General features: G+C 39.6%; 1 protein-coding gene and 1 long non-coding RNA gene across 7 annotated transcripts in view, besides 4 other annotated features; one reads left to right on the top strand and one right to left on the bottom strand.

The window, feature by feature from the left end:
* NPSR1-AS1 (NPSR1 antisense RNA 1) overlaps positions 1-24,171 on the bottom strand; it is a 487,820-nt gene that overhangs the window by 293,024 nt on the left and 170,625 nt on the right. The window lies entirely within an intron of this gene.
* Positions 12,347-12,932: an enhancer, noted in NCBI's record as "NANOG-H3K27ac hESC enhancer chr7:34691494-34692079 (GRCh37/hg19 assembly coordinates)". NCBI's record gives its function as "activates a minimal SCP1, AML or CMV promoter by ChIP-STARR-seq in naive H9 embryonic stem cells {active_cell/tissue: H9 hESC(naive)}" and the evidence as "EXISTENCE:reporter gene assay evidence [ECO:0000049][PMID:30033119]".
* Positions 14,862-16,061: an enhancer, noted in NCBI's record as "CDK7 strongly-dependent group 2 enhancer chr7:34694009-34695208 (GRCh37/hg19 assembly coordinates)". NCBI's record gives its function as "activates an origin of replication core promoter dependent on BRD2, BRD4, P300/CBP, MED14 and CDK7 cofactors, with strong dependence on CDK7, by STARR-seq in HCT116 cells {active_cell/tissue: HCT116}" and the evidence as "EXISTENCE:reporter gene assay evidence [ECO:0000049][PMID:35650434]".
* The window catches only part of NPSR1 (neuropeptide S receptor 1), a 220,115-nt gene continuing 214,626 nt past the window's right edge, over positions 18,683-24,171 (top strand). For all 5 annotated transcript variants that reach the window (NM_207173.2, NM_001300933.2, NM_001300935.2 and 2 more), the window contains exon 1: positions 18,683-19,024. In NM_207173.2, the coding sequence (NP_997056.1) occupies positions 18,878-19,024 (147 nt within the window). In that variant the 5' untranslated portion in view covers positions 18,683-18,877. The remainder of the gene's footprint in view (positions 19,025-24,171) is intronic.
* Positions 20,722-21,559: an enhancer, noted in NCBI's record as "H3K27ac hESC enhancer chr7:34699869-34700706 (GRCh37/hg19 assembly coordinates)". NCBI's record gives its function as "activates a minimal SCP1, AML or CMV promoter by ChIP-STARR-seq in primed H9 embryonic stem cells {active_cell/tissue: H9 hESC(primed)}" and the evidence as "EXISTENCE:reporter gene assay evidence [ECO:0000049][PMID:30033119]".
* Positions 22,396-23,231: an enhancer, noted in NCBI's record as "OCT4-NANOG-H3K27ac-H3K4me1 hESC enhancer chr7:34701543-34702378 (GRCh37/hg19 assembly coordinates)". NCBI's record gives its function as "activates a minimal SCP1, AML or CMV promoter by ChIP-STARR-seq in primed H9 embryonic stem cells {active_cell/tissue: H9 hESC(primed)}" and the evidence as "EXISTENCE:reporter gene assay evidence [ECO:0000049][PMID:30033119]".

Here is a 24,171-nt window from a genome sequence, read left to right on the forward strand (position 1 = left end):
GAAACAGATGAAGAAGAATGTCTTCCTCTACCACCAGCATCCTCCCCCACCCTCCGACCTATTTTGTTGTTGTTGATTTTTGTTTCTTGTTTGAGACGGAGTCTCGCTCTGTCGCCCAGGCTGGAGTGCAGTGGCGCAATCTTGGCTCACTGCAACCTCTGCCTCCCAGGTTCAAGCGATTCTCCTGCCTCAGCCTCCCGAGTAGTTGGGATTACAGGCACCCTGCCCCCACGCCTGGCTAATTTTTGTATTTTTAGTAGAGATGAGGTTTCACCATGTTGGCCAGGCTGGTCTCCTAACCTCAAGTGATCCTCTTAACCTCAAGTGATCTGCCTGTCTTGGCCTCCCAAAGTGCTGGGATTATATGCATGAGCCACCACGCCTAGCCTCCTCCCCGCCTTTTTTTAAACCCATTACCATCCTTGCTTTCTGATTTGGACTGGCATTGAAGATATGATTATTAGGAATCTGACTGCCAACTTGTGATCGTGAAGGAAGACATTGGCAACATGATAAAAATAGCATAGAGGAGGATGAAAGGAGTCTGGATGTCCTGGGGACTTGTTGAGCTACCAAACCCACCCTGATACTGCCCAGCTTCTGTTCTTTGTGGTATAAACAATACATGGCTTGGCGGTTTCATCTACTGTGAGTTAAGTCTTCTGCTCCTTGCTATCGAGTGTATCCTAAAACCAATACACCAGCAAATGAGATGCAAGAATAACTGCCTGTTTGCTCTGTCATTTTTGCAATGTAGACACCACCTAGAACAAGAAAATTACTGAATCTCTGAATGACATTTTTGTAAAGCCATAGAAGCAAAAACACAAGTTTAAAAGACCTAGATTTTAATTATTAGAGTCAGATTCTTGAGAAAATTTCTGATGGCCTTGAAGCCAGCAGTTTATACAGTGAGGCAGGACAAGGAGAAATCTATTTGAGTGTTGTTTCCTCCCCGCACACAGATAAAATCAGAACATTTTCTAGAGAGGATTGGGAATGGAGAAGACAGCAGATGCTAATGTTGGGCTCTGCTTCCTGGCTTTCCCTTCCTACAGGGTTGACCCATTGATGGGGTGGATAAAATAGGCTTGGAGATCTGAATGTAGAAAGGACTTGCCCCACACTTCCTGCCTCGAACTCAGAGAGGAGATGGCCTTCAAGAATGCCTTGCAGCAACGTGGGTAGACAGCATTGGGCTCAGAATAGGGGCACAGCATAGCAAAACCAACTCATCTCAGGTCTTGGAAGAGACTTCAAAAAGCTCCCAAGCTTCCCCCAAAAAGGAGCTCAAAGGACAGCAGAGAATGAAGAGCTGGAATGCATCAGGAATTCACATCCGCATATCAGAGACTCAGAAAGTGATTATGTCAGATAAATGGAAGAAAAATAAGTAGAAAGAGAATCATTCAGGCAGACTAAATTTTAAAATAAATTACTCTGAAATGAGAAGTTAAGAGTCTTTTGGGTCTTGTCCCATATAGAACAAAAGAGCTATGTTAATTTATCTTGTAAAGAAAGTTTTGTTTCATGCATCCGAGTTGATAATGTAAAATTTAAAGTTGCTTCAGATAATGTGACAACCCTGGAGTATAATACATTAGGACTCATCTCTCTGAACGAACAGCAACTTTGCAAAAGAGGAAACGGGGCTGCCTGTTCTGTTACTGTCACATCTGATTTTTATTTGTATATGACTTGACCAGCCTTTATAGCTCTCACCACACAGCACTTCCATGTTCCATAATGGACCTGTTCAAAGGAAGCCATATCACTCCACTTGATTTGCTTCTGATACCAGTTCCAGGGGTATTGATCTGTCTTGAGTAATGTGTTATTGTTGACAGAGAGGTTTCTTGACTCACTGTAGGTGACTTTTTATGCCCTTTAAAGTTCTGAAAAGCCCATAAAGATAATGTTTAAATTACAAGTCATACACAACAGAAGAGAGTCTGGAGCAGCCACACAGGCAACTGCATAGTACCAGAAGGACTGTGGACATGGAATCAGACTACACAGTTCCATAGCTGACTGGGTATATTACTCTTTCCTCAATTTCCTCATATGTGAAATGGTAAGGCTAATATCTACCTAGCATAGTTTTCTGAAGATTTTATAAGAGATCACATATATAAAGCACCTAACCTTGTTAATCCATAGAAGAAATGTAATAAATATCAGAAAAAGAAGAGATTTTTTTTCTCCCTTCTTTTGTTATTTCATGCTATAAATTTTACCATTTTCTGGGTTTAAGTACAATGCGTTTATGCTAAGGTTTAACACGGTGGCTTCATCTTTTAGTCATTCTAATTAATTTCAGCATTGACTGAACCCAGTGGCCCCTGTAGATAAAAACAGGACCAACCACTAAACATTAAACTCTCAAGCACCCACCTGTAATCACTTAAACAGCTAGAGGTGGCTCCACTGATACTTATTAAACAGATGTTCACTCTGTAACAAAAGTGTACCAATCTCATCCTGAAGCCCAGAAAATAGAAAAGAAGATAGGACAGCCTCTGTTACCAATGGCAGAAATATGACAGGGCTATATGAGGCTAAGATAAAGGATATCAAACTCAAAACCAAGAGTGATAAGCAAGGAGACTGTGTTAGACTGTTTCAATAATTAAGGTGAGAAATGATGGCAGCCTGAAGTGTGATTTTCATGATGGAGATGGGGAGAAATAGATAGTTTAAAAACTGTTAAAAAGGAGCATTGGCAGAACTCATTAATTGAACAGATGCAGATAGCAGGTAGGCTGGGGGAGGGAGGTGTTACATATGACAACATGACATATTCTGTTAATACTAATTGAAGGCCTCTATGGTGGAATCACTTACTTAGGTGACTTGGGAATACAGGGAGGTAAAGTCACATTCCTGGCTCCCAAGAAATGTATAGTACATTTAAAGGGATAAGACATAACAACATCTTTTTAGTATCTGCTCTAGTTTATTATTTTATTTTTTAGGGCCCTATTCTGTTCTCAAAAAAAAAAAAAAAAAAAGTAGTAAGGATGAAAAGGGGTAGGGCATCTGGAAAAAACTTTGGAGAAGCCTCAGGAACATCCCGCTTGAAACCTCCAGCCAATTATTTCAGTCTTATAGAGAGAGTGGATTAAATGAATAGGTTGTGTCACTATTTTTGAGAAGCCTGAGTGCCTCTTCTAAGAGCTATTCTCATTTCCACAAAAAGGAAGGGAAATTGCGGTATCTAAAAGTAGTGTTTGAAAGTCACTTCTTAAGAATTATATCGAGTCAAAACACTTTCATTTAAAGCCCTTAATATTTGAACATTGTTATTTATTTTTGCTGTTTGGATTTTTATGTGTGTGTTTGTGTACCTATGAAAAACTATTCATGTCTCAAATGAAATAAAAGAAGGTGGCTGTGATGTATTAGTATAGGTTCTCAATTTCTGTCCTAGGTAAGATGAAAAGCATGAAGATGCCTCCTTCAATCCCGTCATGGCCACAGTCTCCTTGTCATACCCATATAGGCTCTACCTCAAGTTGTGGGCAAACTTCTTTACCCACCTGTCATGAAACTGTGCTTTTTCTATGCTATCTCTAGGGCCCCAAGACTGTATGGATAGCTGCAGACCACCACATTCAGGAAGAGGGGCCAGATCCATTAGGGAGTATATTTGGCATTGAGCTGATAGAGAATAAAGGAGAAAAACTTCCTGAGTAGCTCCAGTCTTACCAACCCAGCTTCTGTTTCAAAGTGAGTTCATGATCAACGGTGGTCTCGCCTGGAGTCATTAGTCCAGAGAACATCCCAACAAAGAAGGTGTAGGAAGTTTTCCTAAACCTAATTTTTAGGTCAAAAAAACAAGACAGAGAGAGAACAAGATTAGGAAATAAATGGGAAGTTGGAGGAGCCCGGATCAAGCAGAAGTAAGCCCAAGAATGCAAGGGAAAGGTCTGAGGTATAATGGTATAGGTCTGAGACAGGAAGAGCTACGGAATAAGCAGAGCAAGAAAGTGCAGAGGGCAATAAGGAATCCTTTCAGATGCTTTTCTTCTACTCCAACCCCAATTAGATACACATGGGCATTGGTAATTTTGCCTTCTGAATCTCTGGGATAATACATCAACCACGTCATTTGCCCTGGGGAGAGGGTCTTTGAAATTAGCACAATAGCTCTGATTTCCTGCCAAATGGTTAATCAGAAGGGGACCTAATACATAAAGAGCAGGAATCTATTGTTTTCATAGACTCCTTATGCCTTGGGTAAGACATAATTCTAACTTGCTATTACCCCCTTCTCTGATTTTACACTAACTAGGGATATAACAGCCACCTCAAATGTCCCCAGATAGTCCACATCCCAGCAACAGCCGACTTCGCCAAATTGGGGCAGCGATTTCACCTTCATCTCACAGAGTTCAATGAGTATGTTGCCAAGGGACATTTTGAGTGCCAATTCACTAATTTTACAGAAACTCTGTAATTGGTTGGAATTGCTAAGGTCAGGGATTGTACATTTCTTGTCACCTTCCTTCAGAGGGCTAATTTCTGTTTTCTCTCTCGGATGCATTCTATAGCTCAAACAGCAGATGCATTCTCTTGCAGTGGTGAATAAAGGCCATTCTTGGACAGGCCCAATTGCTCTACTAAGTTAGAAGGAACCTCCTTTTTAGCTGACATATAATCAATCAGCATGCATTCGGTTTAGAGCAATGAATCTTCTGTAAGTGACAAGAGACTGGATTTGTTAATTTTGCTTTCAGCAAATGTACCTTAATATGGATATTTCTAAGATTCTTGGCAGCAATATAATTTAAAACATGGTTTAGTGTGACAATACAAGAGCATGATGTTCTGATTCTGATAAAATTTTGTCACATATGAGAGAAGGAAGAAAAAAAAGGTTAGTAGTTCAGATAAGAGAAAATAATTGGCTGAAAAGCTTTTATATTTGAGAATGATATAAAAGTGGAAAGTGAAATCATTGACATGAACTGAGAACTTTGACGGACCTTTACTCTGGAACCGCAATTGCCCAGCTGTGCCTGACATGATCCCATTTGAAGTCAGGGGTCATGATATAAACCTCTCATCTCTGATTTTCCCCTAACCAGGGCTCCAATGGACATCTCAGAATTCCTCAGAACCCCCACACTCTCCAACAGCTGACTTTGATAGTTTGCCTGTTACGAATCAGGGCAGCAATTTGATCACTTCTCATATGGTCCAATACATATGTTGTCAAGTAAAGTAAAAAGATAGCACAAGAAATTTTTACTAGATATAATTGCATTTGAATCACATCCAACTATGCATGAAAACAGCATAGATATCACCTAAGACTCTTACTAACGAAAGTTCCCCACAAAATATCTTAGTGCAGTGATTCTCAAAGTTGTGGTATATATCGGAATCACCAGGGGGAACTTGTTAAAATGCAGAAGCCCAGGCTTTTGTCTACTTGATGAATCTGAGCCCCTATTCTTTATTAACTCCCCCAGGTAATTCTAAAACACTTCTGAGTTTGAGAACCACTGATGTAGTGTTATAGAAAGTAAGTAGAGAAAAGGATGAGCTATAGATAAGAGGGCAACACTTTCTGCCCCTTTTCCCACTGCATGTAGGACATGTTGAGGAGTGGTTTAGCTGGATGGGAAAGCAAGTGTCTTTTTTCATCACTTTTCACTGAGCAGGCAGTTTCTCAATTGCAGCGCCTTCTCCCTCTGACTCCATGCCCATACACACATTATGAATCCGAGGGCCGGTGCCCATGCAGCCATACAATAGAGACAAGGACCAATTTACTTGCCAACTAAACATGTAGGGACATGCTGTCTATCCTCAACACAGATAAAACCTGCAGGTGCTCTTCCTTTGTTGAGCCCAGTGCTTCTCAACCTTGGTTGCACATTACAATTGAAGAATGTTTCAAACTCCCCATTGCCCAAGCTGTAACACAGTCTAGTTACAGCTAAATTGGGAGGAGAGCACAGGTTTTGGTGGTTTATAAGGCTTCCCAGGTGATTCAACATCTAACCAAAATTGAAAACAACTGTCTCTAATTCAGATTCTCACGAATGAGGCAGATTCATCCTGCATTTAAGAGAGCAACCTGTAACTCTAAGGTTACTTCTTCTATTGTATAGTCTCATGATTTGGTATCAGATTAAGTAGTTTAAAATATGAGAAAATGTGCACGAAGAAAAGTCCCAGAGATCTGATTGCCCATTCCTTCTCCTTTCCTACAGTCTTCAGTCTAGGTGACAATGCAAATATAAACCTGCTCTTTTCAGGAAGAAAATACCCACCACACCAACATATGGAAATAGAAAGACTGTGTAAACCTGATTCTTTTATAAGGCGTGTAAAGAGAGAAATGAGAACAGCACATTTGAAATTCAGATTTAATCAAGAAGTCTTAAACTCAATAAAAAGACAACTCAATTTTTAAATGGACAGAAGATTTTAGTAGATATTTTTATCAAAGAAGATATACAAATAACTAATAAGCACCTGAAAAAAAGCTCAACATTATTGGCTATTAGGAAATGCAAATCAAAACCACATGAAATAACACTTACTCATCACTGAAATGGCTATAATCAAAAAAACAGACAATAAAAGTGATGTCAATGATGTGGAAAAACTAAAACGCTCATTAATACATTGCTGGTGGGAATGTAAAATGGTGTGGCCACTTTGGAAAGCAGTATGCCAATTTCTTAAAAATTAAACACAAAGTTACCATGCAAATCAGCAATTCTACTCCTAGTAGTCTCTCCAAGAGAGATGAAAATGAAAGATGGCCACACAAAGACTTGTATGTGAATGTTTATTATGGATAATACCCCCAAAGTGGAAACAACGCAAATGTCTTTCAACTGGTAAATGGATAAACAAAATGTGATATAGCCACAAAATGGAATAATTTACAACAATAAAAAGTAATACAGTACTGATATAGGCCACACTATGCATGAACTTCAGAAAATTATGCTGCACAAAAGAAATCCAACACAAAGTCCACATATTTTATGATTTAATTTCTACAAAATGTCTAGAAAAGATAAATCTGCAGAGACAAAAAGCTGATTAGTGGTTGCCGGGGACTGGAGTGGATATAAAGAATGACTACAAATGGGCCTGAGAGATACTATTTGCGTGAGAGAAATGTTCTAAAATTGGATTGTGGCGATGGTTGCACAACTCTGTAAATTTACTAGAAGTTAATTAAGTTGTGTACTTAAAATGGGTGAATTTTATGATATATATATTATAATAAAGCTATTTAGAAAAACATGTAGAATTGACTTTACAATTCTGCAAAAATAATGTAAAAATTTAAGTAGATATAACATGCAAAAATAAAGCTTATTACTTTGGAAAAAATTACTTCAAAAATATGAAAATAGTTTAAGCTGCAGGAATTTTTTTAAAAAAACAAACTCTAAAATGATAATATTGAGCATTGACTATATTCCAGGCATTATTCTAAGTGCTTTATATCATTTTGTCCTATAAATGAGCCTCTAAGTTTGATGTTATGTTCCATTGTACTAGTATTGAAACTGAGGTCTAACTAGAGATAAAAGACTGATGCTAGAATAAGAAGACAGATTAAAAGGAAGATGGTAGTACTAAAGAAATAATTTGAGTAATTTATAGTGCGTTTGCATAATTGTAACTGGTATTAAAAAGAATGAAAAAGAGAATAGAGACCCAAATCTAGTGTTGATCAGATGAAGATTAAAGACATCACAGACAATGCAGAGAAAAAGGAGAAAGAGATTAAGGTGATCAGAGAATAGATGATAGATAGATACAGATGACATAAAATGAGGAACAGAGTAGGGATAATTAGTGTTCTTGGGGTGCAGAGGAGAATCAACATAAAAATATTAAAGATATTATTTAAAATGTCTTTTTAGCTGAAGAGAATTCTAAACATAAATAATACTATCATTAGCAAGAATAAATATCAGGCAATAATGTACCACAACTGCACTGAGCACACATCAGCTCCTTGAACCATCACAACAACCCTAGGAAGCATGAACTATAATTTCCATTTTACAAAGGATCCCTAGAGCTAAGATGACTAGATATCTTGTTTGCTTAGGACAATTCTGGTTTACTGCATGTAAACTACCTAAAATACCCATTTTATTCTCAAATTTATGAGTCTGGACAATAAATTACATGATCACCCTATTTTGAGTCTAAGAACTACAGGTGGTAAACTGCAGAACCAAAACTTATTGGAGAAGTCTCCAAAGCCTTTGTTCTTAACCATTTTGTTATACTAAATCTGCAGAGCTAAAGTGTTCATCACAAAGCGACACAACTTGTAAAAAATAAGTGATTATACCAAGAAATTCTGCATTTCAAAGATAAATAAACAACTCTATATGCATTCAGTAGAAGTAAGTCATTTAAAAAGGAAAAAGATATTAATTAATTTCATAAGTAAATGAAAAATAGTACCCTGGATTTCTTCTTTACAACATTAAATGCCAGAAAACAATGTCTACAAAGTCAAGTTAGAATTAATGGAAGCTCTCAAATATACAAGTAGCTAAGAATCAAGAAGTCAAGCAACTACTTAAAGACATTGTCCAGCTAATTTAGGTAGAAATCAAAATTTAGACTTCACAAACACATAAGTAAGATACAGAAGTACTTATAGTGGGCAATGAATCCACTTTAATATCAAATTATGTAACAGTTGATCTGGTAAATATCATGTCTAGACAAAGTATACATGTGATATTTCTTGGAAGACAATATGCACCATATCTAACTTCGATCCTGCATCAAAAATTCCACTGGTTTGAGAAGAGGCCGAGGGAGCAGTGTGGGAAGAAATGCATATGAGCTGCTTTTCCCATTTTCACAAGGGGAATCCAATAAATAATGTCTTATTCCTGTTGTTGATAAACTAGCAGTCTGAAATTTAGTCAAAATTTTTAAGTTGTAAAAATATACATCAGTAGAGCAAAAAAAATTGTATTATCTTTCATGTTGCAGAAGAAAATAGAATTAAAGAAAACCTTAGAAAGATAACATAAAGAAAAAATGCAAAGGTAATACTAAAACTAAAGAAAATATTTTAAATAGCAGTAAAAGACAGAAAACAAAGGTAAAAATCAGGAAGTATATAGAGAGACCAAACACAGGATGTTTAATACTAAATACAAATGGTTAAATCACTCTCTTATTAAAAGAAAGATAGCCTCATATTAAACAAAACAATAAGTAAAATATATTTACAAGAGACACCAAATGCCAATGATTACAGAATGTAGAGAATAAAAGAATCAGTAAAGATATGCAAAAGAAACTAAAATATAATACAAATTTAAAAATACAGTATAACAGCTATTTACCTAGCATTTACATTGTATTTAATTAATCTAGAGATGATTTTAAGTATATGTAAGGATATGCATAGGTTATATGCAAATACTACACCGTTTTATATAAGCGACTTGAGCATCTTGGATTTGGCATCCACGGGAGTCTTACAACAAATCCTCCATGCATACCAAGGGATTTGTCTGCTTATCTGACTTACTTAAAGAATCCTGATTTTATAGAGCGTGACCATATTCTCAGCCTCCCTTGCAAATAGGAGAAGCTATGTGACTAAGTTCTGACCAGTGAAATATAAGTGGAAGTTACTGGGAGGGCTTCCAGGAAAATTCCTTTAAAAAGAGCTGAGCTCCCTTTTGTCTTTCCCCTTTCCTTCTTCCATTGGCTGGAATGCAAACACGATGAAGCTGAAATGTATATCTTACAACCATATGGTGACCTTAAAGATGGAAGCACTTCATCAAGGAAAACAGAGCAAGAAGATACGATGAGCCTGGGTCACTAATGATATCCTGGAACCACTTCACCACCCCTTGATTCATGTTACCACTAATTCCCCATTGCTTTCCTACATTAATTCAAACTTGACTTTGTAAAAATTATTTTCTGGCATATAATGTTGTAAAGAAAAAATTCAAGATACTGTTTTTTTATTTACTTACTAAATTAATATAGTATTTCTTTATTAGTGACTCACTTTTACTGAATGCATGTAAAACTTGTTTATCCTTGAAATACAGGATTCCTTGGTACAACCACTTTTTTTTCTAAAACTAGTTTGTTTCTTTATGATGAACACTATAATAGCTCTGCAGATTTAGTGTAATAAAAGGGTTAAGAACAATAGCTTTGGAGACTTCCATGACTGAAAGTTTTGGTTCTGCAACTTACCAACTCTAGTTCTTAGGCCCAAAGTAAGGTGATCATGTTATTTACCTTGTGTCTTCACCACAATACCTTGACTCTATCTTTCTTGAGGGAAAGACAAACAAGCATTCTGTTTTGTTCAAATTGCTCTTTTTTTAAGATCTCTGTACTTGGACTAAAAAGCAATTATTAACTGATATCAGCACATAAAATTAGTTTATAACAAATCAAAATCCAAGGTGAAAAAATTATATGAGAGTCTTTTTACTTGATGGTTGACAAATTCAACATAATCACGTGTGTCATGAATCTTTTTATGACAACAATACAGCATCAAAATGTACAGTGTAGACCTAGAGGAAATACAAAGAGAAACACAGGGCCCCAATAATAATGGAAAACATAAACAAACCTTTCTGTGCCTTTGACAAATTAGGTAGACAAAAGCTAAAAGGTAAAGAAATGAGATTCTAGAGACTTCAGTAGAACTAAGAGTACCTAATAAAATGCTTCTAAAAATATGTGTGTGTGCGTGCGCACATGTGCACACACACAGGCATTTGTGAAATTATCTTATAAATAGAATTCCAGGTATTTTTTCAAAAACTGAACATATATATATAATGTTTTAAAATATTTCAAAAGATAGAACTTGCCTTCAAAATATAATTCAAGAAATAAACAAAACTTGAAATTAAACTGAACAAAAATATAAACATTTAGAAGTCACTTCCAAGTAATTCTTTGGTCTAAGAAGAAATCAGACACACATTGTATTTATTGTAGAAAATAATGAAAATGAAAATACCACATATCAGACTCTCCAGGTCACAGCTAAAAGCAGATTCAGAGGAAAATTCGTTGCCTTAAATGCTTCAATTATAAATATGAATGAATGAAAATAAACGTTAAGTATTTAATCCAAGCATTCAGATTTTTTAAAGACAGCAAAATTAAGAAAGAAAAAGAAGGAATTGATGAAGATGTAGTAATAGCAATTGTACTTCAATAAAATATTTTGAGGAAATAATCAGACAAGAGCTCAAGAATGTTTGTTCGGTGCTGTTTCTGGAAACTCAGAAAAAACTTTAATCTTTATTATAGGGATGATTGAATAAATCATAACACATTTCATGTTAGCAGAACAAAGAGACACTAAAATATATACCTTAATACAAAAATCTACAACAAGTGGAATTAAAAAGCAGAATGCAGAGCTGAATATAAGAATCACAATTGGGCACTGAGGAATACATTAGCAGTTAATATAAGTTGTGTCTTTACATCTTCAGGTATTTATTTAAAGGAACTACAGTTTGGTGTTATAATTAGAAAAATACAACCCTAAAAGTATGGACTGTGAAATCATATTTATTCTAGTGTCCTCCTTTAAGTAGAACATTGCATTCCATTTCTTTAGGGACTGTATTTCTTAATCATTGTAACAGGTATAACCTCTTGTACCCATTACAGCAAGCAATTACTAAATATAATATACCACATTTGTCTTTTCTGCAGGATCCCAAGAATTTCTCTGCCCTCAAAGCAATTTTCTGTTTAATGCTATGCTGAGGATACTCTTATTTCATACTAATGATTTAGAACCCTCACCACCATATCAGAATTCCAAGCCAAAACTAAGGTACTATGAAAAGTTAACTGGTGTGGAAAGTCAATGGTCATTTCTTATCTTATTTCTCTACTTGAAGAGTTATTCCTTACCAAGAGCTCTCCGCACCTTCACTATGGGGAAATATGCACCTACTTTAAGGAAATATTATGGGAATTAAATGTTGTGACATCTTTCAGGCACCCAGCACAGTGGTGAGATGGAGTTCCCCCTTTACCTTCTCCCATATTCTTTCCTGATCCTATCTGAGTAATTACAACTCTTCCAACCAATCCACTTTTACACAGTTTTTTTTATAGAATAAACATCCAAATGCAGCATCTGTGATATATCTGAATTAAATAGTGGGTGCAACAACATGGCTATTTCAAGCTTAAATGTCAGCTAATTTTTTTGAAAGCAAAGTCATGGGAGTGAGTGTCTGTTTACACCTAATGCTGAGAAATTTAATCTCTGCAGGCTGTGACACATTCTGATATCAGAGGATCAAAATCCCACTGGTGGAAGTTAATTTCCTTTGCTCTACAATCCACACTTACCATTCTGCACTCAGGTGGGAAAATAAAACTTGTGTTCTTCATCCAAAGTTACTAAAAACACCCAAGCCCAAATTTAAACCTCAAAACTATGAGCTCTGCTTCCTTGGAACTCAAAAGAATAATTCTCTTTGCTACTCAGAGATTAATCACACTGCCTTTATCACCTACTATGCTTGTGTTATTTTACTCTTCTTTTGTTATTTAACTGAGAGCATTTGTGTCTATTCTACCCAACCAAACCATGAATTTGCATGTGTCAGGGAAGCTCTGGCAAAATCTGATACAACTTATTCCTCATATATTAATTGCTTAATACAGTTTTTGTGATTGAATTTTGAGCTAATAACATATTTTAATTCAATACAGCATGCATTTTTAAACACTCTGAGAATGTCCAAAAACAATTTGGCACTTAGGTAAGAAGAGACTTTATTCAGGCTGGGTGCGGTGGGTGGCTCACGCCTGTAATCCCAGCCCTTCGGGAGGCCGAGGCGGGCGGATCACAAGGTCAAGAAATCGAGACCATCCTGGACAAAATGGTGAAACCCAGTCTCTACTAAAAATACAAAAATTAGCTGGGCGTGGTGCCATGGGCCTGTAGTCCCAGCTACTGGGGAGGCTGAGACAGGAGAATTCCTTGAACCCGGGAGGCGGAGATTGCAATAAGCTGAGATCACGCCAGTGCACTCCAGCCTGGCAACAGAGCAAGACTCCATCTTAAAATAGAATAAAATAAAATAAAGAGACTTTATTCGAAAGGATTAGTGCAAGAGGGAGACTGGACCATTACAGTAAGGAGAAAGGGGCTGTTGTAGTTTGGAGAACATTCTTATCATGAGATCTGGAAGTATCTCAAGGGTTAGGAAAAAAGAGATTCTCTTTCATAGGAAAGAATAGACAAGGCTAGAAAGAACCAGGTGTGGAGAAGTACCATGACAGGAGTGACACGATCTGCCAGTAGATGAGGGAATATTTTACCCTGAACTCTGCAGCGTACTCCAGGGAGAGGCTGTGGAGGAGGAGCTGTGTGCTGGCTGAGGCTGAGGGCGGGACAAAGTTCAGCCTAGGAGAAGCAAAGAATCTTAACCAAAGTTGGTTTAGCCTGCATTTTTTTCTGATTGATCAGTGGGGACAAAACAGCTTAGCTAATATCATTTATGAGACAAACAAAAGGAATTTAGAGGGTCTGCGTCTGGCCTTGTTATAAGTGTTGATGGCTATTTACTCTGTGTTGCTACAAAAATATATGTGAAATTGGGTAATTTAAAAAGAACAGAGGTTCATTTGGTTCACAGTTCTGCAGGCTGTACAAGAAGCATAGTGTCAGCATTTGCTTCTGGTGAGGGCCTTGGGAAGCTTACAATCATGGCAGAAGGCAAAGTAGGAACAGGCACGCCACATGGCAAGAGAGGGAGCAAGAGAGAAAGGAGGAGGTGCCAGGCTCTTTGAACAACCAGATCTCATGAGAACTAAAATCAAGAACTCACTCATTACTGCAAGAACAGCACCAAGCCCTTCATGAGGGATCCACCCCCATGATCGAAACACCTCCCACCAGGCCCCACCTCCAACATTAGAGGTCACATTTCAACATGAGATTTGAAGGGGACAAAACATTTGAACCATATCAATGCCCACAAGGCAGCATTGGTGAATCTGATTTAAGTCACATGGGGAATAATGGTTAGCTGCACAAAGCCCTTTCTGGAACACAAAGCAGTGGGGGCATTTATTAACCTTTTCTGTTTTCCAGGATCACAGGGTTCTGGTAAAGTTCAAACTTGTCAGAGGATACAAGGAGAAAAGGTGCAGTGTCTCCATTCAGGAATTTGGAGACTAAAGAAAGAGTCAAGGAAAAATTGTTCACATTTTTAAAAATAGTAACGATTAAGCAGAAGACAAGAAGGAAGACAATTAGATCTCATTTGATTTCCAATACCTTCATGATGCAGGCACCACAGTCTCTCAGTTAACAGATGAGAAGAAAGAGGCTTAGAACTGTTAAGTAAATAATCCAGGGACTCACAGACAGGACATAGCAGAGCCAAGTTTGAATCCAGATCATTTTGACAGCCCAGGGCACAGTTCATATATGAAAAGGCCAACTAACAAAATGTTAGCTAACAAATGCATCACTGTGGACAGTCAGGAAATACCTGCAAGCTCCAGAACTTTCTCATTTACATAGCACTAACAGAAACTTTTGGACTTTCCCTGCAATGAGGCAGAGTGTCAATCCCTACTGAGATGGACCCCAATAACCATTAAAAATACATATATAAAAAACAAGTTTAAATATTTTGCCTATAACTTTTATTCCAAAGCTTATGAACTCTTCTCTTTTAGCATTACAGGAAAATGATGTATTTGTTCAAGGATATAAAAATTGTGGCCAGGGCTCCCATAGTGAATGTATGAAGCAGGAAGCTGGGGGGATCCATGGAACCTTGAGCATTCTCTTCCAGAACTCTCCATCCCTGCTAAAGCTAAAATGCCTGTATCATGGGCAAAGCTTGTCACACTAGAAAGGTCAAAACTTAAAAATGTTCTTACCAAGTATCTCCCAGTAGTATGTGGCTGATATGAGACTGAGGCAAAGCTTCTCCTAGCAGAAAAGAAGGGACTCAGTAACCTGGGAAAGGTGACCTTCATCTAGAAAAGGAAGAGACAGAATTTCTACAAATGAGTTCAGGTAAGAATGTGTATTAGAGTTCTCCAGAGAAACAGAAATAGAACTAATAGGAGGGGTGTGTGTGTGTGTGTGTGTGTGTGTGTGTGTGTGTGTGTGTAGGGAGGGGGGAGAGAGAGAAACAGAGAGAGAAATTTATTATAGGGAATACAATATGAAATAATCATTCACACAATTAATAGAGACTAAGAAGTCCCAAGATCTGCAAGCAGCAAGTGTCAGGCCTCTGAGCCCAAGCCAAGCCATCGCATCCCCTGTGACTTGCACGTATACGCCCAGATGGCCTGAAGTAACTGAAGAATCACAAGAGAAGTGAAAAGGCCCTGCCCCGCCTTAACTGATGACATTCCACCATTGTGATTTGTTCCTGCCCCACCCTAACTGATCAAGGTACTTTGTAATCTCCCCCACCCTTAAGAAGGTTCTTTGTAATTCTCCCCACCCTTGAGAATGTACTTTGTGAGATCCACCCCTGCCCGCAAAACATTGCTCTTAACTTCACCGCCTATCCCAAAACGTATAAGAACTAATGATAATCCACCACCCTTTGCTGACTCTCTTTTCAGACTCAGCCCACCTGCACCCAGGTGAAATAAACAGCCATGTTGCTCACACAAAGCCTGTTTGGTGCTCTCTTCACACGGACGCGCATGAAAGCAAGCTGGAGACCCAGGAGAGCTGATGTGTAGTTCCAGTCTGAGTATGAAGGCCTGAGAACCAGGAGAGCCAATGGTGTAGTTCCAGTCTGAAAGCTGGCAGGCTTGAGACCCAGGAAGAACTGATGTTTCAGTTCAAGCCCAAAAGCCAGAAAAAAAACAATGTCCCAGCTCAAAGAAGTCAGGCAAGAGGAGTTCCCCGCTTTTCACAGAAGAATTAGCCTATTTATTCTATTCAGGCCTTTAATTGAATGGATGAGAGCCATTCACATTAGGGAGGGCAATCTGCTTTACTCAGTCTGCCAATTCAAATGCTAATCTCATCCAGAGCCACCTCACAGACACACCCAGAATAATGTTTAACTATTTGGGCACTCCATGGCCCAGTCAAACTGACACATACAGTTAATCATTATACCATGTTAGTTTGTCTTCTTGTCCACTCAACTTTCTTCTAACTACTGTATAGTATTCCATTGTGTTATATACATGCACAGTTATACTTTATAAAGATGAAAGGGCTGGGCACAGTGGCTCACACCTGTAATCCCAGCACTTTGGGAGGCCGAGGCAGGTGGATCACGAGGTCAGGAGATCAAGACCATCCTGGCTAACATGGTGAAACCCTGTCTCTACTAAAAATACAAAAAATTAGCCAGGCGTGGTGGCAGGCGCCTGTAGTCCCAGCTACTTGGGAGGTTGAGGCAGGAGAATGGCGTGAACCCAGGAGGCAGAACTTGCAGTAAGCCGAGATCGTGCCATTGCACTCCAGCCTGGGCAACAGAAAAAGACTCCATCTCAAAAAAAAAAAAAAAAAAAAAGGAAACAACCATATTTATTATTTTGCTTAATATTATGTTTGTAAGTTCCATTTATGTTATTTTTGGCTACAGATCATTTTCTTATTGCTATATAGTATTTCATTGTGTGACTACATGAAAATTTATTCATCCAGTTGATGGACATTTGGGTGGTTTCCAGTTTGGGATGATTCATTGATTTTGACATCATGAATATTTAGGTTGCTTCTGATACGTTTCTTTAATACTTTGCGAAGGCATCATTTTGCATGACTGCTTGTATAGATACATAAATGTTTCTCTTGGGTGGCCACAGGTTAAACAATGGTCTATCTGGATCATGAATGGAGAGAAAAGGAAACAACCAGAAAGCTCTCTCTCCCCACCTATTCTCTGTCCATGGCATCTGCCACTTTCTCTCACTCTGCCCCTACCACACTGTGACCTAACCAGCTTCTACCTTCTCCCAGGAGTTCCTCACAGATTTTGTCTTATAAACATTTTCTTGAAGTAAAACATACCTACAGAAAAGTGCATATGTTTTAAGTATGTAGTGCAAAGAATTTATGTGAATTGAGCATATGTAAGTAACCCAGATAGAGATGAAAAATTATTAGCATCTAGAAATGGAACAATGCATTAGAGGATATGTAATTCCAGCTTTACTAAATACTGCTGAATTGCTTTTCAAAAATTACCACATCAACTAACTCTCACCAGAAGTAAAGATGTACACCCGTTTCCCTTCAATCTTGTCAGCACTTGGGGATAGCCACACGCTAGCTTTCACTATAATAATAGGTAAACATTCTTACTGGTTTTAGTTATTTTCCTTAATTTTTAATATGGTTGAGCCTATCTTCATACTCATTTGTTAGTTGGAATATGCTGCACTTGTTTTGCTATTGAGTTGTTGTCCTGTTTTGAACCTTTCCTTAAGAGTCCACAGCTTATCCAGTTTTCTACACAACTCACTTCTGTTTGCTGCCCTTCATTATAGACTCAATGCCTTCTCATTGCTAGAGCACTGTGCCCTCCTTGGGGCTCGATGGTTTATAATAAAGCTTCCCCAGGAGATCTCATGGGGGCCAGGTTCTTTAGTGGTGGCCACTAAAGCTACTACCTCTTATTCCAGGTGCCATAAACCAGTGGCTGGACCTGGTTGGTTCACAGAGTGTTCTCAATGTGAGGAATCAGGTATTGTGCTTGGTTGTCATATAAGCAGCTTAGTTCCCATTGTTTTATACCTGGCCTGCTACCCTCATTCATGTTACCTTCATGCCCCATAGACATTTGAGATTTGATGCAAACCAGTCTGTTACAGTAAAAGCACCACTGTCTAGGAAGTTCTGGAGATGGGTTATCAGCTCATTTACATCAGCAGCTGCGGGATCTTGGGCAAGTCATTTCACCTATTGGAGCCACTCTCTGCTAGCATAAAGGAGAACATAAAGATACCTTCCCTGCCTATCTCACAAGGTTGTTTGGGAAACTGAATGAAAGAACGTGTAAATGTGCTTTGCAGGTTTTTTGTGAAACAGGAATAGCTGTTAGTATTCTCGCCTAGCCCTGTCTGTGGTGCCCAGGATGCTGCATTACCTCCTTTCTACCCTCGCCCTGAGTATTGGTCCTAGGTAGAAGCTGAGGTGAATATACTGAAAGCAGTAAGAATCTTCACCAGGCCCCTCCCAGTCATATCACAAGGTGTTGTAGCTTATTGACAAACACAGACCTCATGTTTCTCTGAGAACCGCCCTGTGAACACCTAGATAGAACTAAGGGTGTGAAATACAAACGTACTATTTGCCTACACTTACGGAAATAAGAGCACATGACACAGTAGATGGCAAGGTGAGGCTTTAAGTCAGAAAGCAACCTCAGCTGAAACAAATGCATAATTATAATTTGATTTCAGAAGTGGAAACATGACCCGAATTCATGCACCTACTGATTAGTCCAAATTCCTTTATTGTTGAAGCTGGAGCAGAAGTGGGGGTCCACCGTGGAAGTAAGGAAAAGCAAAACAGAACAGGGGTCTCATCCAGGGAGCCATGTCGATGGCTATGGGGAGCTCCACCTTGCTCTTGGGGTGGGGCCCTGGCCCTGGGTGGGACTGTGGGGTGATGAGGGTTGTGCTATGCTGGCTACCTGGTGGTAATTGCCAAGGAGAGAGCAGCACGTAGATCCTCCCTGTCATCAGGCAGAGCTCTTCAGTGAGGTGGGCTCAGGGAGGGCTCTGTGCCTCCGTTCAGCAGAGCTGCAGCTGCTGCCCAGCTCTCAGGAGGCAAGCTGGACTCCCTCACTCAGCTGCAGGAGCAAGGACAGTGAGGCTCAACCCCGCCTGAGCCATGCCAGCCAACTTCACAGAGGGCAGCTTCGATTCCAGTGGGACCGGGCAGACGCTGGATTCTTCCCCAGTGGCTTGCACTGAAACAGTGACTTTTACTGAAGTGGTGGAAGGAAAGGAATGGGGTTCCTTCTACTACTCCTTTAAGGTAAGTTTCTTGCCTGCGACTCTGAACACTGACTTATAACAATGAGACTGCTGGAACTTAAGAGTGTCAATTGAAGTATCATAGCCAGTATTGTGAATGAGTGTTATTTTCTTTACTAAAAAGGATTTTTAAAAGTCTGAAGTGCTAAAACAACAAGCTGTAGTGTGCAGAGACCTAGATTGTAGTTTCTTAGGAATACAGGTGACGTTTTTCTTTCTGATGCTGCTGGAAATGTGTGAATCGTGAGTAACATTTATGAGTGGATGATTTTTACTTTCCCCCTTTCCTTAGGTGAAAGCACTTTTAATTAATCCTATAGCAGTACTTGAAATGTCTGTTTCTAGTAGGGGTTAGAGCTATGAGTTTTTTGCTAGGAACACCAGAGATGCGGAAAGCTCACAATCCCCAGGACAGTGACTGATATGATGAGAAACAACATTGAATAAGGCAGGAAGGACGACACTTTCTTTGATGATCCTTTTCATTAAACATCAGTGAGGAATATATTTCTTTGAGGGTAGTTGATGATGCCACCATTTGCAACAAATTACCTCCTAGAACAAATGAAGGACAGAGAGTTTGGTGAGTTTCACCTTCAAAGTATCCAAGGGCCACACTGAGGAAGGATCTTCATTAAGCTAATACTGTATTGTTTCTTATTCCGCAACAAGATCTTGTGGACAGAAATGAACCGCACATTTGGGAAAAGAACAGTTTCCTGCTTCTTGCCTCAGAATGCTGGGTTGTCAGGTTATTTCACACCTGTCTAACGATATGTTTAGTCATTGCAATAATTCACAGGTCTCAAACTGGTCCTTTCCACTGAAGAAAAAATACTTCAAAAAGATTCTAGTTGTTGCTTTGTTGGGTTTTGTTGTTGTTGTTGTTGTTAATCCTCTGTATGTTCTTGAAATGATTTGGTTTTTACACAATGAGATAGCATTACTGTAACATCCACCTCCCTACTGGAAGTTCACTTCTTTTGCAAATATTCAGAATAAAACTTTCAGCAGGGTGCTGTCCCAGGAGTCAGACTTAAACTTCCAGGGCCCTAATGATCCTGCAGCAAAGCAGAACCTGAGCAAACTACTCCTCCACTGGCTTCAGTGAAACCCTGTCCCTTGGAATCACCTCCTAATGCATATGCACATACGCAGCCCAGCTGCACAGCTCCACGATGTAGCTTAGAAAGTAAAATTAGAGTTTGTTGCCACTTAATGTCGACTGAATAATCCCCTTTATGAAATCAGCCTGCAGACCCAGAGAGTCTGTCTTGGCAGGCTGTGTGCACCCAGGAAGCACAGGACTCCACTCAGTATTGCTGCCTGTGTAGCCTCTTTGATATTCTTAGAACATGATAGCAAGCAGAATGAAGAGAGGCCCTCCATTGCAAAGGGAATAAAATCAGCAATAAGGTGGTTATTCTGAGACTCTGGCAAGAATCAATCTCAGCTGAAATCTCATTTGCCATTTTTTGAATATAGCACCTACAGGGATATTTGGAATATGTGAAGAAACAAATCCCACCTTGCTCTCTATGAGTGTTTGTCCTCTCTATCCTAGCAACATCATCGCCAGACACTAAAGAGAATCACAGCATCTCTAGCTGATTCCTATTGATATGTTTGCAGCAAAACGGCTGGACCACTGGACAAGGAGAAAAGCAGAAAGACAGGAATTGTGTTTGGCCAGGAGCTTAGAATGCTCAGATTCATTATTTGAGAGATACGTGTATTGACTAAAACCCTGTGATTTTTAGTTACACAGTGATTACTGGTGGTATTTGTGAGAACTTAGCTTATATTTCTTAGTGTAACTTTTTTTCTATGATCCCCTTTGGGCACAAGCAATTCTAATGCATTGTTGATACAGAAATAGTTCCAATGCAAGCCCTTGTTCACTGCAATTCATTTTATCTGACATACTTCTAGAGAAGAAATTCGAAACCATGCTCCCTTTACTGTCTCCCAGATGTATCCCCTTTAATCCCCATTGCCTTCATCAAAAGCAGTAAAAAAAATAGCATGAAAATAAAAATAGCAGCAGCAGTAAAAGTCACAGAAATAACAGCAACAACCATACGTCTCATTTACTTTGGGCATTCTTGGTGCCAAGAGTCATAGCAAGACTCACTTAGCAAGTGACTTCTGTGAAGTATCTCATTTAATTCTCACAATCCATGGTGTATCTTTCCTTCCGGTCCTGCCTTCCATCTTCATCTGTTTATCTCAATTTTACCCAGTCTATAAAGCTCAGCTTGGGTTGCTTCCTCCATGAAGCCCTCCTTGACTCATCCCTCCCTGACTCATCCCTCCCTGAGCTTCATTAGTGTCACGGACTGTACCTCTCTTCTTGCCACTTAATGCAGTTCTGTCTTAAACTGCTATTTCCATATGTGTTGGCTGAATGTGTTACAGTCCTCAAGCTCCTTGAGTAAAATGAATGCCTTATATTTGTTTCATATTTTCTCCCAGGACCTACCACTATGTTAGTCATACTCAATAAACATTGACTGCATAAACAAATTGTGATGTGTTTTTTCTTCCAATTACCAACATTTTGTCAAATAAGCAACAGAAAGCATGTATTCCCTGTGACAGAGGTGGGTGGGGGCTCTCATTAACCAAGTTTCCACCCATCAGCCCCTACCCTGCCTGGTCTCTATACTCACCCAGGTCCCTTTCTGCAAGCATGTTCAGCTTGTCCCTATTCCATTTCTAAGCCAATGAGACCAAAGTCGGTTCTAGATTCCAGTGGGTGGGGTATGGAATTAGCTGAGGCACCATGAGCTGGTACCAAGTACCTGGTCCAGCCCTGGGGAATCCATCTCTATTGCATGGCAGCCTTACCTAGTCTCAGCTGTCTTGCTCCGTCCACTTACCTAGGCTCCTGACTTCGTTTCCCATCTCACATTCTAGTTCTTATCCTCTGAACTCCAAAGCTCTTTCAGGAGGAGACAAAGCACCCCGTCTAGATCTTACTGGCACTTCCTTCACAGGCTTAGAGTCTGTTCCTTCCTCCCACCTCCACCCTTGAATTCTGGCTTCTGCTTCCACCCCTCTAACCTACTCTACCTTCCTAAGCATGTGAGGCTCTTGGAAATGAGCAGGGAGGTCTAGGGTGGGTTCACCCATCCCATCTTCCACCATGGGCCTTGTGTAACTAACCCTACGTGGTCTTGGGTTCAAGATTCTCAGCTCAGACCCTGGCTCCCTTCACAGTTTCCAGTTTTGTGTGCTTTTAAGATCACATCCAGCTCACCTCTTCAAGACCTAGGTCTTGGCACTAAGGAATTATATGCGTTTCAAGAATCTACCAGAAGTTTTCAAGGGGAAATGGGAACCAGCTCATCAGAAAATAAATGAGGTATCTGAATATAAGGCTGTCCAAATGCAAAACAAATACAAAACTCTTCACACAGAAAGCCCTTAATTTTGCTGGTGAATTCACCAGCAATGTTTCCTGAATCTCTGATACTTAATGAGAAACCTAATTAGAAGTAACTGGGAGGGAGACCTGTCTTGATTAGTGAATTATCTAAATTATAAAATAATGTAAATGAAACTTAGTTTTATTACTCATAGGTGAGCACAGAAACATGAACTAAGACTGCTAAATATCACCTAATAACAATCTTTTATTGCGCCTCCTTCGGTGGATAGTTACAAGTGATACACAATTAGTCTATTGTTTATATGTAAATGGTTGCTTCTAAGTGCTTGAGGGTGATTTGACACAGTTTGTTCCCTTTGTTTGTACACCCTCCCTGCCACGCTGCCTTACTGTTAATTTTCTTAACACACTCTTCCTCCATTAATATAACAAAAGCAAATTTCAACTCAACGCATGTCCCAATTATCTCACGCTATGCTTTTGCAAGGGAGCTCCTTCCTGCCCTGGCCCCAGGACAGTGTCAGGGATGTCCTTCCTGGAATCCAGAATCCCTCATGTCCCAACCCCCAAATGTATCTCCTGCAATTTGTAACGAGAGGTCTTGCATTTACATCATGCATTTTTTATTCTTTTCTAATTAGTCTCGCTCAGTATGTTCAATTTGAGTTTCTACAGTTGAATACTGTGGCTGCTCCTAAGGAAATTACTACCAGTTTTGCTCGGTTAAATCATTATTAAACATATTATTCCTTCCTGCCAGTTCTGCTACCCAGACCTAGTGCTCTGCTTTCCAATCCCTGACCCTGGGTAAACTCTACCGTGCAGTGTGTCCAATTTCACTTCACACAAATGAGAAAGGCTGAGGATGGCACACAATTTCCAAACTATAGACGCTAGTATTTGAAAAGGAAATCTTCCTCAGCTAAATTTCTCTTTGCATTACTAATACATTTGATGGCAGGAAGCATAATCTTAGCTAATTCAGAATAAACCTAGTCATTGCAGAGCTTTTCAGCCCAGGAAGAGTTTTCACATTTTCTGGCTTCGGGAAGGCATCTAACTCCAGGGGCAGTGCTTCTGTAGTGCATTTCTCTCTCTCTCTCTCTCTCTCTCTCTGTGTGTGTGTGTGTATGTGTGTGTGGCGGGGGGGAGTGGGGGTAGAGGATGGATGGTGAAGAGAGTCTGATCTACTGAGGGATCTGAGCAAGTTGGCATCAGCTGAAACAAGACCTGTCTGTCCCTCAGATGTGGTCATCCTCGTTCTGGACTTTCATCTGGGTTCCCATCCGACCTGTGTCAGGCCCACATTGCTTTCTGGGGTAATGTCCCTTGGCCACATTCTCTCCTGGTACAGGGTGCTTGAATCCCTGTCTCTCAATCCCAGCGATAATTTCTGCCTCCTTCCTAAGAATAGAAAGTTTGACTGCTACCAACTTTGGGCTGCAGAAAACAAAATGGAGCATCTCTGGCCCTCTCTCATCCCACATAGCCACCTACGCTATACAACTTCCACCTCATGATAGATGGGAAAATCTGGGAGACTGTACTTCCCTGGTCCCTACACAGTAAGTGGACCTCAGCGCCCTTCCAATCCTGTGCTCCCCAAATGTAGCAAATGTTCTCTCTTCCTCCGCTTTTTCCTGCTAACCCTTGGAGGGGGGCAATCCAATACCCTCTTGTCATTGTCTCAGTTGCCTCGCATCTCCCCAGCATCTGACACCACTGCTGCGCCATCAAACTCTTCCATCGCCCTC

The sequence above is a fragment of the Homo sapiens genome, chromosome 7, assembly GCF_000001405.40.
Source record: "Homo sapiens chromosome 7, GRCh38.p14 Primary Assembly".
Taxonomy (NCBI): domain Eukaryota; kingdom Metazoa; phylum Chordata; class Mammalia; order Primates; family Hominidae; genus Homo; species Homo sapiens.